The sequence below is a fragment of the Homo sapiens genome, chromosome 22, assembly GCF_000001405.40.
Source record: "Homo sapiens chromosome 22, GRCh38.p14 Primary Assembly".
Taxonomy (NCBI): Eukaryota; Metazoa; Chordata; class Mammalia; order Primates; family Hominidae; genus Homo; species Homo sapiens.
The window spans coordinates 35,403,986-35,418,716 of NC_000022.11; the positions used below are offsets into that span (position 1 = coordinate 35,403,986).

The window sequence follows — 14,731 nt, forward strand, 5'->3', positions numbered from 1 at the left end:
CTATAGTCCAGGCTACTTGGAAGGCTGAAGTGGGAGGATCAAGGGGCCTAGGAATTTGAGGTTACAGTGAGCTCTGATTGTGCCTCTCAGCACTTTAGCCTGGGTGACAGAGCAAGACCCTGTCTCTAAAAATAAAAAATAAATTACAGACATGACACTTTATCCCGAAAAAAAAAAGTTTTCTTACATAGTCTCATTAGCACCTCAACTGAAACATCAAAGATCTCTTAGTATCATTGAATATACAGTCTAGATTCAGATTGACCAAATTACCTCACATGACTCTTACAGCTCGTGTGTCTCAGCCAGGACCAGGCATTGTACTGGATTGTTGTTTAAATCTCTTTTAATCCAGGACAGCTTCCTTTACTCTGGGTGTAAGTTCTTTCACAGATACATTATTGATTTGCTAAAGAAGCAGGAGCCATTATCCTGTAGAATGTGCTGCCTTTTAGATTTATCTGAAGGCCTCCTTGGGGTGGTTACAACATACCCCTTCCCCCCCGTGATTTTTGGAAGCTGGAAGTTAGATGCAAAGGCCTGACTGTGTTTCGATTTCACATACCGGGCAAGAACGCTTATGGGTGGTATTGGATCCCTCATTGCATCCCTCCATCCACTATGCTGAGACTGACCAGGTGCTAGGTTGAGGTGGTGATGGTCACTTTATTGTAATGATGCAGGCATGGAGTCTTGAATTCCGCCTCCCCAGCCTCGCTTCTGCTTCCCACAGCCTCTTCCTGCTTTCTTTGAGAGCCCCAGCAAAACTTCTGCTCATGTCTGGTTCTCTCGTTCAGCCGGAGGAGGGCATTGAGAAACGGAGACAAGGTGGAGAGAGATTGTCCCAGTCCTGTACACTAGTGGCTCAGGAGCTTTGTGAAGGGCAAGGGCTGGCCATAGGAAGGAGTGGATCGGCTGAGAATTTATGTTTTACTTTTTATTATGGATAATTCAAACATTAGAATATAAAGAGAATCGTATAACGAATCCTCTTGTACTCATCACCCAGCTTAATAATTAGCAACTAGAGGCCAATTTTTTTTTTTTTTTTTTTTTGAGATGGAGTTTTTGCTCTTGTTGCCCAGGCTGGAGTGCAGTGGCACGATCTCAGCTCACTGCAACTTCCGCCTCATGGGTTCAAGTGATTCTCCTGCCTCAGCCCCCCAAGTGGTTGGAATTACAGGCACACACCACCACGCCCGGCTAATTTTTAGTAGAGATGGGGTTTCACCATGTTGGCCAGGCTGGTCTCGAACTCCTGACCTCAGGTGATCCATAGATGCCAAATCTTGTTTCATCTGTGGCCCTGGAGTTCTTTTGAAACAAGTCCCATACATCATATAATTTGATCTGGAACTATTTCTCCATGTATCTCTAAAAGATGAATCTCTTTTTTTTTGAGACGGAGTTTGACTCTGTCGCCCAGGATGGAGTGCAGTGGCATGATCTCAGCTCACTGTAACCCCTGCTTCCCCGGTTCAAGCAATTCTCCGGCCTCAGCCTCCCGAGTAGCTGGGATTACAGGCATATGCCATCACACCTGGCTAATTTTTGTATTTTTAGTAGAGACGGGGATTCACCATGTTGGCCAGGCTGGTCTCGAACTCCCGATCTCAAGTGATCCGTCCGCCTCGGCCTTCCAAAGTGTCGGTATTACAGGCGTGATCCACTGCACCCAGCCTTTGAAGAGTCATTTTTAAAGGCATAGCTACAATAACATCACACTTAAAAATTAACATTACGGCCGGGCGCGGTGGCTCATGCCTGTAATCCCAGCATTTTGGGAGGCCGAGGCCAGTGAATTGCCTGAGGTCAAGAGTTCGAGACCAGCCTGGCCAACATAGTGAAACCCCGTCTCTACTAAAAATACAAAAAGTTAGCTGGACATGGTGGCAGTTACCTGTAATCCCAGCTACTTGGGAGGCTGAGGCAGGAGAATCGCTTGAACCCGGGAGGCGGAGGTTGCAGTAAGCCGAGATCCTGCCATTGCACTCCAGCCTTGGCGACACAGCAAGACTCTGTCTCAAAAAAAAAAAAAGAAAAAAGAAAAAATATTACTGCCTTATTGTCCGGTGTGGGAATAGTCATTAAGATGGGGAAACTGAGGCTCAAAGAGAAGTGACCCAGACAGAAGACCACACAGCAGGTTTTGACAGAACTTGAACTAGAATGTGGGCCCCTGCCTCCCAGGTTTGTTCTGTGTTGTACTCTACAGGTCCAAGGATGTCGCCATCAGAGCTGGGGTCAGGTCTCTCTCCTGGCACCTGCCACTTTGTAGTGAAATGTGCTTAGTGTATCTCTTGCCCTGCCACCTCCCCCCCCAATTGTGCTGCGAGGTCTTTAAAAGCAGGAGCTGTGCCTGAGGCTCCTCTGAACCCCAGGGTCCAGATAGCCTGGCACTGGGTGGATGCTCTGGAAGCATTTTTTGAGCGGAACAGAAGAGCTGTGGCCCTCCCTGCAGCTCTGTGCCCACCTCCTCCAGGCTCCTGCCCAGGATATTTACTGGCATATCTCAGATGCGTCCTGGCTCCCCTTAACCAACAAGCTTCCCGATGGCTCTATTACAGTCGGACATGATGTCACACCTGGTGAAGATCCCTGGCATCATCATCGCGGCCTCTGCGGTCCGTGCCAAGGCCACCCGCATCTCTATCCAGTGCCGCAGCTGCCGCAACACCCTCACCAACATTGCCATGCGCCCTGGCCTCGAGGGCTATGCCCTGCCCAGGAAGTGCAACACGTGAGTCTGTGGCCCAGAGGGACTGTGGGAGGTGACCTGAGTGAAGATCAGAAAGGATGAGAACAAGTAGCAAGCACTGCCTGCAGCTGCTTCTAGAGATCCACTGGGATGGGCTGGGCAGGGGTGTGCCCTTAGGATTGGCACAGATCTGATGCCCTGTGGCTCTGAGACACCATGAACAGGGTCCCTCTACATTGGTGACTTCTGTCTCACCAGGATACCCAGACAGCGTTGTAGGGAACCCAGGGTTGGGAGGGAAAAGCAGTCCAGGGTAATGAGTCTACTTGGAATCTTCTGAAGCAAACTATGGTTTGCTCACTAGGCCAGATCTAGCCTGCTGACCCTATGGCCCAGGAACACGTTCGTTCATTTAAGTATTGCCCACAGCTGGTTTCGCACTACAAAGGCAGGGTATGTGGCCTCTTGGCTGGCAGAACCTGGAATGCACATCCTCCGGCCCTTTCTAGAAAATGTTTGCTGCCCCCAGTCTGAAGGAACCCCACCCTCTTCACTGGCTGCTCTTTCTTGGCTCCTTCGCTGGTGCCTCCTCAGCTTCCCATCCACCTGTGGCACAGCTGCCTCATTCCATGCTGTTGACATCTCTCACTTGGAGAGGCACGCTACCTCCTCCCTGATCCCCCGCGTCCACCCTCCACCCCCTCAGTCTGTTTTCCACCCAGCAGCCAGGTGTCCCTTGACACTCAGGTGGTCCAGTCATTTACTTCTTAGTCAAGTCCTGCACAGCCCACCACGATCTGCTCCTGGCTTCCCCAGGCCTCGCTGCCCCTCCTCTCTCCAGGCCCGGCCTCACTGCCTCCTTCCTGTTTCTGGAATACACTGACTACCCCCAGTCTCACTGCCTTTGACCTTGCTGTTTCCTCTACTGGGAGTGCTGTTCCTCAAGCTACCATAGTCTGTGTCCTCACTTCTTCAGGCTTCTCTTCACATGTCCCCTTACCAGGGGCATCTTGCCCAACCCTTCATCTTCAGTTTGGTGTGCACGTACCTCGTCTCTCCCACACCTGCCTACTTTTTTACTTTTCTTCACAGCATGTAGCTGTCACTCTTTAATATGATTGTTTGCTTGTATGTCTTTTCAGCCTCCCTTGATAGGAACTTAGGCTCCACAAGAGCAGGGACCTTTTTGTTCAGTGCTGTGCCCCCTGCACCTGGAATAGTGTCAGACACATAGTAGGTTTTGCTATGATGTTTACTTCTTTATGTTGCTATAATATCTATTGAATAATGACATAATTACCTAGGGATACGTAGAGGCTTAGACCCTCAGAATGGTCTAGAACTGCCTAGAATCCCACTGGAAAAGATCTTGGGATTTGAGTGGGGCTTTAGTAAGAGAATTGATGAACTAGCTCTTCACCCATGAGGACACCATGATCCTGCAAGAAGACCGAGTGTGACCTGTCTGCCTCCTCTCAGCAAGTTAATGGAAGGACCCAGCCTCAAGCAGTTCCCTTGACTCTTAATCCAGTGCTAGGTCCGTCAGTGTTGCCTTCCTTTCTTACCTCCAGGCAGCGTTGCCTGCCTGGCTTATCTCCAGCTTATTCTGGAGACCCCCATAAATTGCCGCTGGCAACGTCTCCTTGCTGGCTCCTGGGATGAATGAGCCCTGCCTTTGGATTCTCCAGGTAGCTTTGGTGACTCTTTTCCCTTACCTTGTACAGAGATCAGGCTGGGCGCCCCAAATGCCCATTGGACCCGTACTTCATCATGCCCGACAAATGCAAATGCGTGGACTTCCAGACCCTGAAGCTGCAGGAGCTGCCTGATGCAGTCCCCCACGGGGAGATGCCCAGACACATGCAGCTCTACTGCGACAGGTGAGGCAGACGGGCTGGGAGGTGGGCATCTACGACGGTGGATGTCCCAGCTGTGGCCCTAACCCGAGTGTTGGGAGTGGGTCATCTGGAGCAGGGTGAGTAGGGTGGAGAAGGTGGCCAGTTGCAGAGCACCTGCTCTGTGCCTAATGCTTCCATAAGTTCCTCTCATCTCGTCTTTCCATAATCTGCAGGGGCATGTCAGCCCCATTTTGCAGATGAGGAAATGTAACTTGGAGAGATTAAATGACTTCCTGTGTGGAGGAGAGCCGGGCTTTCAGCCTATGTGCATTGCTTTCCAAAGTCTGTGTTCTTCTTAGGATAAGAGGCCCAGGATGCACAGCTAGATAACCAATAGCTGGCAAAGCCTCTTCCCAGCCTGACACCCCACCTCCTACCCCAGGCTTTCTTTTTTTTTTTGAGACGGAGTCTGGCTCTGTAGCCCAGGCTGGAGTGCAGTGGCGCGATCTCGGCTCACTGCAAGCTCCACCTCCTGGGTTAATGCCATTCTCCGGCCTCAGCCTCCCGAGTAGCTGGGACTACAGGCGCCCTCCACCATGCCCAGCTAATTTTTTGTATTTTTTAGTAGAGATGAGGTTTCACCTTGTTAGCCAGGATGGTCTCGATCTCCTGACCTCATGATCCGCCCGCCTTGGCCTCCCAGAGTGCGTGGATTACAGGCGTGAGCTACTGCGCCCAGCGTACCCCAGGCTTTCTGTTAAGATCCTGCTGAACAGCCACGGTGGCTCATGCCTGTAATCCCAGCACTTGGAGCGGCTGAGACAGGAGGATTGCTTGAGGCCAGGAGTTCAAGACCAGCCTGGGCAACATACTGAGACCCTGTATCTAAAAAAAAAAAATTTATTAGCTGGGTGTTGGGGCAGACACCTATAATCCCAGCTACTTGGGAGGCTGAGGTGGGAGAATCACTTGACCCCAGAAGGTTGAGGTTGCAGTGAGCTGTGATTACACCACTCCACTCTAGCCTGGGTGACAGAGCGAGACCCTGTCTCAAAAAGGAAAACAAAAAAGATTCTACTGAGGGGGAGAGGGTACTGAGCTTGGGCCCCTCATAGTAACCTGGGTGGAAGGTTTTGAGATCTTTGATTAGGGTTCTAACCTGGGCTTGCATATCCTGAAATTGCATGCAGATGTTCTGAGGAGAGCGGATCTGTAGCTTCTGTTAACTTCATTAGTGGCAACAGAGTATGTAGGGGTCAGGCTCTTGCTCCCTGGGCAAGTTATGTGACTTTGTCAAGCTTCAGTTTCCTCATCAGTAAAATGGGGATAAGGACAGTCCTTAATCTCTCAGAGGGCTGCTTGAAAATGCATGTGGTGTTTAGCACAATTCCTTCATGCAGATTACGTAATCAGGATGTATGATTTTCCAAGCAGTTCATGAATCCTGAAAACTTACGAAGTGGGTATGGGAAGAGGGGAGTTGGAGGCTCATGGAGTGACGGTGATGGTCTTTTCTGGAGCTGTGATGCCTGATGGTATAAAGCACTTCTATGTCTGCTGCCTCACCTGACTCCACAACATGAGAGGCAGGCCACTTCGTCATCCCCCTAGGCTCAGAGGTGCAATGACTTCGTTGAGGTCACACAGCGACTAAGTGTCCCTCCACACCACCCTGTCTCTGACTGGGGGACTTGGAGACTTCCCTGTTTCAACATCTCATTTTGAAAACAGGAAATGAAAACCCAGAGGCAAAATGAGCTCACAGAGCCATGAAGAGGCAAAAAGGGCGAGTGGCCCCTCAAGGAGGCTGGGGGGCGTGAAGAGGAAGTCTTGCCCTGAGAGGCTAAAGGGCACCACACAGTGAGCTGACAGCAGACACGTGGAGATGGGGCTTTTGGAGGGCTCTGTGGGCTGGCACTAAGCCTCCTAAACCAGCGTACAAATGAGTTAGCGAGTTCAGCGAGAGTCAGGCCACCACCTGCCTTTCTGTTTGGCTGTCACTGTGGGCAACACCATCCTCCAAGCAGCTGAGCATGGGCTGAGTGACGTGGGGAGAGAGGCCGTTCTCTGGGCTCCGTGGGGCTGGAGCCAGCTCAGCATGTGGTGCCTGTGGCAAAAATGCTGCAGTGGACCCTGCGTGTCCTGGGCATGGGTGGAATCAGAGACTTGCTGTCCAAGTCAGAATCTCAGCTTTTCTCCTTTCTCCTCTACCCTCCTCTCAGGTACCTGTGTGACAAGGTCGTCCCTGGGAACAGGGTTACCATCATGGGCATCTACTCCATCAAGAAGTTTGGCCTGACTACCAGCAGGGGCCGTGACAGGGTGGGCGTGGGCATCCGAAGCTCCTACATCCGTGTCCTGGGCATCCAGGTGGACACAGATGGCTCTGGTGAGTTGGCTTTGGGGTCCTGGCTTAGCCCTGCTAAAAGGCTGTGCTTGCATACTTCTGGTAACAGGCAGCTCGTTACTTCATGAGGTAGCCCAGGATGTCCTTGTGTTGCTCATATCATTAGAACGTTCATTTTTATATTAAGTGATCCCTGGAACTTCCACACATTGGTCCTAGCTGTGGCTCCTGGGCTGAGGGTGTTTGCCTAAGTGCAGGATTAAGGCAGAAGGACTGAGGTCAAATCACTGGGGAATTACTGAAAGCCAAGTCTTCACTTCTGTGACAGGAAATACAAGAGAAGTGAAACGCAGGGTTCCAGGCAGGCAGCCGCCTAGTGTCTAGTTGGAGAAATAAGAAAACTGTGAGACCGCTGGGGACATGTGGGTAAAGTGGTGGCTGTTGTGGGTCACGCAGTTCCAAGGAGGTGCTAAAGGAGGTCTGAGAAGGAGGAGGTCGGGGCTGGGCCTTGGGGAAGGTTTTCTGGGAGGAGGTTAATCTGAGCTGGGCTTTGAAGAGTGGTGGATGTGGAAGAACTTCCAGGCGGGAGGGGATGGCAGGAGCAGGTGAAAACCCCGGCCTGGGCAAGGTACTGAGTGGCTGGAGGGCCGAGTGGGAGTCTAGGGGATGAGGGGCCAGGTGGTGTAAGAGGCCTTGAGTGCCGAGATGGGGAGCTCCTGCTTACACCTGAGGGCAGCAGGGGCCACTGAGGGTTTTCAGGTTTGTTTCAGCCCTCTGGCTGCAGTGAATTGATTCAGAGGGGTGGCTTCCCCAGGGCTCAGTCCATGGCCCACCCCACATTTACACAAACTACCTAGATTATTACAACTTTAAAACCACTGACAGGTAAGTAGCTCTCACATTTCCATTTCTAGCCTGGGCTTCTCCCCACGTTCCAGACTTTAATAACCAACTGCTGATTTGACATGTTCACTTACATATCTGAAAGGCATCTCGAACTTTACATGGCTGAAGCTAAGCTCCCCTTTCCCCACCCTCAGACTGGCTCCTCTCAGTCTTCCCATCTTCACCCTTTCAGTTGCTCAGACAAAAACCCCCAAGTCACCCTTGGTGCTCTTTTCTCTCATCCCCCACATCTAATCACTCAGGAACTCTGGCCAGCTCCACCTTTAAAACGTGTCCAGGATCTGACCACTTCTCATCCTCCCCACCTGCTCTGAGCCCTTGTCAGCCCTCCCTGGATCACCGTTGATCCTCCCCAGTGTTCGTCTCCACCTTGCCCTACCTTCTCTGTTCTGCAGCAGCCAGTGAGCGATGCTGTCATGACCAAGACACTATATCACTCCTCGGCTGAAAGGGGAGACCTTCCAGTGGTTTCCAAGGTCCTATGCCATCTGGCCCTCTGTTTGCTCAGAACCCTTCTCCCCACTTCCCCTCACCCTTTGGACCCTGGAACACACCAGGCCCATTCCTGAGGGCTTGAGAGCTGGGATCTCTGTTTACTCAGATAGGTTGTGCTGTCCTGGCCCTAAGGGCCCTAAGGGCTCTGCCTTCTGGGAGGTCCCTGAGCTGGTGCCAGGATGGGCAGTGGGCTGGAAGAGCTCCCTTGTACTCACTCATGCGCCTGCTTTGCCTACCAAGGCCGCAGCTTTGCTGGGGCCGTGAGCCCCCAGGAGGAGGAGGAGTTCCGTCGCCTGGCTGCCCTCCCAAATGTCTATGAGGTCATCTCCAAGAGCATCGCCCCCTCCATCTTTGGGGGCACAGACATGAAGAAGGCCATTGCCTGCCTGCTCTTTGGGGGCTCCCGAAAGAGGTAGGGGCTTGAGTTCCCTTGGGTTTGGGGAGGCGGCTGATGATGGGGCTCACAGTAGGATAATTACTGGATAATCAGGACTGGGCACTCTTTTTTGTATTTCCTGGGCCCCTCAGTCTGCCAGGCACCTTTGCCAGCCCCCAAGCTTGCCATCAGCTGGCTAGTGGCTGATCTGCGCACCTGTCTCAGCGATGCCCTGACCCTGGCAAGGGGGAGACTGGGGGCCTGGCAAGTGCAGTGGGAGAGCACTGAGCTTAGGGTCGTGTAGGTACCAGGACTTAAATCTCAGCACTGAGCTTGGGGTCAGTAGCAGGGATATTATTAGCAGCTGCCATTTACTGTGTTCTTCCTATGCACAGCCATTCTTTGTTTTTTTTTTTTGAGACAGTCTCACTCTGTTGCCCAGGCTGGAGTGCAGTGGTGTGATCTCGGCTCACTGCAAGCTCCGCCTCTTGGGTTCACACCATTCTCCTGCCTCAGCCTCCCGAGTAGCTGGGACTACAGGCGCCTGCCACCATGCCCAGCTAATTTTTTTTGTATTTTTAGTAGAGACAGGGTTTCACCGTGTTAGCCAGGATGGTCTCGATCTCCTGACCTCGTGATCCGCCCGCCTCGGCCTCCCAAAGTGCTGGGATTACAGGCGTGAGCCACCGCACCCGGCCGCACAGGCATTCTTCTAAGTGCTTTATGTGTCTGAAGCCCAGTCATTCCTCACAGTAACCTGTTAACGCAGCTGTTGTGCCCATTTTATAGATGAGGGAATTGAGGCATAGAGAGTTAAAGGGACTTGCTCCCCAGCACATGCAGGGGAGCCAGGAGCCTGCTGTCATGGTGCTTGTTCTGCCGCACCGTGCACAGCCCACAGGCAGCTCTCTGTCCTTTTCTTTCAAGCTGGGAGGAACGTTGCTCAGATGCTGGGTGTACCCGAGCACAGCCATAAGAGCCATTTCCTTTAACCCTCCTCTTCTGGGAGGCAAGCTCTGTCCTCATTGCTAGGCAAGACCTACCATGGTTTGGGAACTACAGAGCTGGGTAGGAACATGGGTCTCAGGCCACAGCCACTACCTTCTTACCAACTCTGAGGCCCATGATAGTTGGGGGAGTCAACTGCCAGCCCACCAATCTGGTGACTGGATGTCACATGCGATGCCCTCATGGATTCTCACCTTGTCCATCTACCCTTCGTCCCCCAGGCTCCCTGATGGACTTACTCGCCGAGGAGACATCAACCTGCTGATGCTAGGGGACCCTGGGACAGCCAAGTCCCAGCTTCTGAAGTTTGTGGAGAAGTGTTCTCCCATTGGGGTGAGTGGCCTGGGATACCTTTGCCACCTTGGCTTGCAGGGAGGAAGGCTGCAGGGCAGGGCCTCTGGGTCCTCAGGACACCTGTGGTGGGCTGGCTCACCCGGAATCTCTTCCTCCTTTCTCTTGGCTGCGGTCAGGATGGCCGAGGAGATGGGAGGAAGAAGGGAGCCAACAGGTGTATGTAGGTTTGGGGCAGGGGGCGAGTACACTGTACTGAGAGTCAGGATGGGGTTTGGGTCTCACCCTGGCCAGAAATTGGCTGTGGGCTTTGAGTAAGTCACCCAATCTCCCTGAGCGTCAGTTTATCCATTTGCTAAATAATGATATTGTTATCATTAATAGCTAAAATCTGGCTGGGCATGGTGGTTCATCCCTGTAATACCAGCGCTTTGGGAGGCCGAGGTGGGCGGATTGCTTGAGCTCAGGAGTTTGAGACCAGCCTGGACAACATGGTGAAACCCTGTCTTTACCAAAAATACAAAATAACTAGCCAGGCGTGATATGCACCTGTGGTCCCAGCTGCTTGGGAGGCTGAGGTGGGAGGATCACTTAAGCCCAGAACGGGGAGGTTGCAGTGAGCCAAGATTGTGCCACTGCACTCCAGCCTGGGTGACAGAGTGAGACCATGTTTCAAATAATAATAATAAATAATAATAATAATAATAATAGCTAAAATGAAGGGCCAGACACTGCTTGAAGTACTTTGCATATATTTACTTAGTCTTCACCTCAACTGTGTGGCAGGTACTATTACCCCTGTGTTAGGGGTGAGAAAACTCAGGTACAGAATGGGTAAGTGTCTTGGCCCAGGTCTCACTGCTGGTAAGCATTAGAGCAGGATGTGATTGAACCCAAGTGTCTGATGAGCTGGGTCCTCTGCTGCGTTGTTGAATGGGTCTGCGGGGATCAGAGCCAGAGAAGGTCTGACATGATCCGAGTGGCGGGGTTGTATAGGGCGAGATGGTGGTCTTTGGATAGATAGGAAGTGTGCCAAATTTGCCACACTGGCACTGTCCAGTAGAAATAGTGAACTGCACATGCGACCCATGTATGTCTTCTCAGATTGTCTAACAGCCACATTAAAAAGTAGCTGGGTGCGGTTGTGTGCATACCTGTAGTCCCAGCTACTTGGGAGGCTGAGGTGGGAGGATCACTTGAGCCCAGGAGTTTGAGACCAGCTTGGGCAACATAGCAAGACCCCGTTTCAATTTAAAAGGAAGAAGGGGAAAGAAAAAAGGAAAAACAGGTGAAGTTACTTCTGTTTAACTCGCTATATCTAAAATCTCATTTCAACATGTTGTTTGATATGTAGATTATTGAGATACTTTACATTCTTAGGAGCTCTGAGTCTTTGAAATCGTGCGTATTTTGCACGATTAAGGACATCTCAGTTAGGACTTTCCCAATTTCAGGGGCTCTATGGCAGTATGTGGCGTGTAGGTCTATATAGAGACGACAAGGGACTCACGATGGGGGCAGGCTTTCCCTGGGAGTCAGGAGTCCTCATCCTAGCCCTGAGGCTAACTCCTCTTCTCTGGGCCTCAGTTTGCTCATCTGTGAGTTGGGCCTCACAAGACTGTGTCACAGGGCTGTGGTGAGGCTTAGGTGAGCCATGGATGTGATGCCCTCAGCGGGGAGAACATCTGGGCACACCGAGGCCCAGGGCAGCATCCCCTTCCAGAGGGAGACGCACTGAGTTGGAGCCTTGAGTCCTATTCTGTACCCTGCAGCCAGCTTTGATGTGTGACCTTGGGCAAATCACAACCTCAGTGGGTCTTTTTGTCTTATGGGGGTCAAAGCATGGAGTTGTTATTGGGCCCTGACACCACCCCACTGCCCCAGGTATACACGTCTGGGAAAGGCAGCAGCGCAGCTGGACTGACAGCCTCGGTGATGAGGGACCCTTCGTCCCGGAATTTCATCATGGAGGGCGGAGCCATGGTCCTGGCCGATGGTGGGGTCGTCTGTATTGACGAGTTTGACAAGGTGAGTCTGATGAGGTGGGTAGTAGCCAAAAGGTGGGTGGCACCAGGGTATGTGACTTCCTGTGCTCAGCCAGCAGAAATCACCTCTGACTTGGGAGACATGTTTTCAATCCCTGGGCCGGTCACTCTAGTAACTGTGGGAAGCTGCTTAACCTCTTCAAGCCTCAGTTCCCATATCTGAAGAGTGGGGAGAAGAAAGGCAAGCCCACACAGTTGTTCCCATGATTAGAGGTGACCTGGTTGCTGCCATTGGCCTTGCGTGGAGCTGGTATTCAGGAGTGAGGGCTGCTGTTAGTTTTCCTGTTTCTACTGCTCCCTGCTCCCTCACTTCAGTAGGTCTGATGATATTTCTCTCTTCCCCACTTAGATGCGAGAAGATGACCGTGTGGCAATCCACGAAGCCATGGAGCAGCAGACCATCTCTATCGCCAAGGTGAGTGGCCCTCCATGGAGAGCCCAGCCTGCAGCAGCCCAGCGTGGCCCAACCGTCCTCAGGCTGCCCTGATTGGGACCAAGTTCTCTTTGCCCAGGCCTAGAATCTGTGTGTGTGTGTGTGTGTGTGTGTGTGTGTGTGTGTGTGTGTGTGTGTGTGTGTGTGTGTAAACGTGTATATAAGAAGGCATCTTTGCCATCTCCTCCCCCTTTTCGTCGTCTGTCGCCTGTTAGGCTGGGATCACCACCACCCTGAACTCCCGCTGCTCCGTCCTGGCTGCTGCCAACTCAGTGTTCGGCCGCTGGGATGAGACGAAGGGGGAGGACAACATTGACTTCATGCCCACCATCTTGTCGCGCTTCGACATGATCTTCATCGTCAAGGATGAGCACAATGAGGAGAGGGATGTGGTACGTCCAGGGGCAGGGCTGGTGGCCATGGGACCTGCCTCCAGGCAGGCTTGTGATTGTGTGGGAAGGAGAATGGAGAACAAGGGCCTTGGCTGGCAAAGTCCTGACTGTCAGGCTGTGAAATTGGGGAGCACGTGAGAGGGCGGTTGTTGTGGACTGCAGAGGATTGAAGCAGGGTCTGGAGTCCTGTGGCCTGCTCTGCCTCTGCCGTGAGTGATAAGCTGTGTGATTTGGGCTAAATCAGTTTCTCCCTGGGCCTCAGTCCCTTATATATGAAACAGAGGAGTTGACATTGGGTTATGAGTAATAGAACCTCAGTTCTGGTTAGTAAATTTTTCAAAGAAAAAAACATAGTGGTTTATAGAATTGGTAAGTCCGGCGGCTTAAGGCCCAGGTAGATCTGGATTCTCAAACAACTGTCTCTGCCTTTCTGTTCTGCTTCCCTTGGTGGAATCTTTGTACTTGGGCAGCTGTTCCTCTTGTGGTGGCAAAGACAAAATAAGATTTTGTCCTGTTAGCTTGTAGCTTAACAGCCCCCAGGAAAGAGGAGGCCCCGTCTTTTCCAGTACTTCTATCAAAAGTCCCAGGATAGACTCCTATTGGCTTGGGTAGATCCTATGTCCATGCCCAAGTTGGGGTGGACAAGATACATGCCCCAAGTCGGGGTGGACAAGCTGAACCCACCCCTTTATGGACCAGGGCAGAGGAGCAAGGAGCATTAAGTTCTCTCTAAAGGAGAATCCAGATGCTCCCATCAGAACGAGGGCCTGGTGCTGAGCAAACAGGCTGAGCACGCCTGAGATCTCAGCACCCTTTCCGGCTCCTTGATGCCAGGGCCCCATCAGCTCTTTCTGGCTGTTCCACCTCAGTGCTGGGACTCAGGCTTGGGACGGCCTGTGGGATGACCCATTATCCCCTCTGCTCTCCAGATGCTGGCCAAGCATGTCATCACTCTGCACGTGAGCGCACTGACACAGACACAGGCTGTGGAGGGCGAGATTGACCTGGCCAAGCTGAAGAAGTTTATTGCCTACTGCCGAGTGTGAGTCCTGGACGCAGGCCCACGGGGGTGAGGTTGCCCAGCTTCCCTGGGTGGGAGAGAACCCAGTCCCCTGGTCCTGCTCCTCCTCATGAAGAACAGCCCAGATGTTGCTGTTCTGAGGTTCTCAGCTCTACTGAATCTGCTCTGCTCCCTTCTAACCTTGCGTAGCTCACTGGCTCTTGGCTTCAGTTTTCCCACCTCCACACCAAGGAGGTGGGATTTAGATGGTCTTGAAGACCTCCTCGAGTCTGACATGCAGGGAGGCAGTGAAGTGTAGACATGGTAGACATGGGCTCTGGGTCATACCTGCCTTCACTCTATGACTTTGGGCAAGTTGGTTGGCCTCTCTGAGCCTTGATTTCCCCAGGCCTATCGATGTTTGCTAGGATTTTTGTAAGGATTGCACAAGATGATGAGTAAGTGCTTGGCATAGCCCTGCCCTGGGTAAATACTCAGTGAGTCGCAGCTGCAATTTGATTGTTCTCACAGATTTTCAATAATAATAATTATATACATAGTACTGGCTGGTTGCAGTGGCTCACGCTGTAATCCCAGCACTTTGGGAGGCGGAGGCAGGTGGATCACTTGAGGTCAGGAGTGCGAGACCAGCCTGGCCAACGTGGCGAAACCCCATGTCTACTAAAAATACAAAAATTAGCCGGGTGTGGTGGTGCACACCTATAGTCCCAGCTACTCAGGAGGCTGAGGCAGGAGAATTGCTTGAACCCAGGAGGCAGAGATTGCAGTGAGCTGAGATCGTGCCATTGCACTTCAGCCTGGGCAACAGAGTGAGACTCTGTCTCAAAAAAAAAAAATATATATATATGTGTACACACACACACACACACACACACTCACTC

The 14,731-nt window shown here is 52.0% G+C and overlaps 1 protein-coding gene across 3 annotated transcripts in view, besides 3 other annotated features; it reads left to right on the forward strand.

Moving 5' to 3' along the window:
* The window catches only part of MCM5 (minichromosome maintenance complex component 5), a 54,892-nt gene that overhangs the window by 3,846 nt on the left and 36,315 nt on the right, over positions 1–14,731 (forward strand). For all 3 annotated transcript variants that reach the window (XM_047441366.1, XM_006724242.5, NM_006739.4), the window contains exons 5-13: positions 2,568–2,740; positions 4,423–4,578; positions 6,759–6,925; positions 8,525–8,696; positions 9,890–10,001; positions 11,844–11,987; positions 12,354–12,419; positions 12,653–12,829; positions 13,759–13,871. In XM_047441366.1, coding sequence (XP_047297322.1) covers positions 2,568–2,740; positions 4,423–4,578; positions 6,759–6,925; positions 8,525–8,696; positions 9,890–10,001; positions 11,844–11,987; positions 12,354–12,419; positions 12,653–12,829; positions 13,759–13,871 — 1,280 coding nt within the window. The remainder of the gene's footprint in view (positions 1–2,567; positions 2,741–4,422; positions 4,579–6,758; positions 6,926–8,524; positions 8,697–9,889; positions 10,002–11,843; positions 11,988–12,353; positions 12,420–12,652; positions 12,830–13,758; positions 13,872–14,731) is intronic.
* Positions 6,074–6,133: an enhancer, noted in NCBI's record as "active region_18906". NCBI's record gives its function as "activates an Ori minimal core promoter by ATAC-STARR-seq in GM12878 lymphoblastoid cells {active_cell/tissue: GM12878}" and the evidence as "EXISTENCE:reporter gene assay evidence [ECO:0000049][PMID:35858748]".
* Positions 6,224–6,443: an enhancer, noted in NCBI's record as "active region_18907". NCBI's record gives its function as "activates an Ori minimal core promoter by ATAC-STARR-seq in GM12878 lymphoblastoid cells {active_cell/tissue: GM12878}" and the evidence as "EXISTENCE:reporter gene assay evidence [ECO:0000049][PMID:35858748]".
* Positions 6,524–6,663: an enhancer, noted in NCBI's record as "active region_18908". NCBI's record gives its function as "activates an Ori minimal core promoter by ATAC-STARR-seq in GM12878 lymphoblastoid cells {active_cell/tissue: GM12878}" and the evidence as "EXISTENCE:reporter gene assay evidence [ECO:0000049][PMID:35858748]".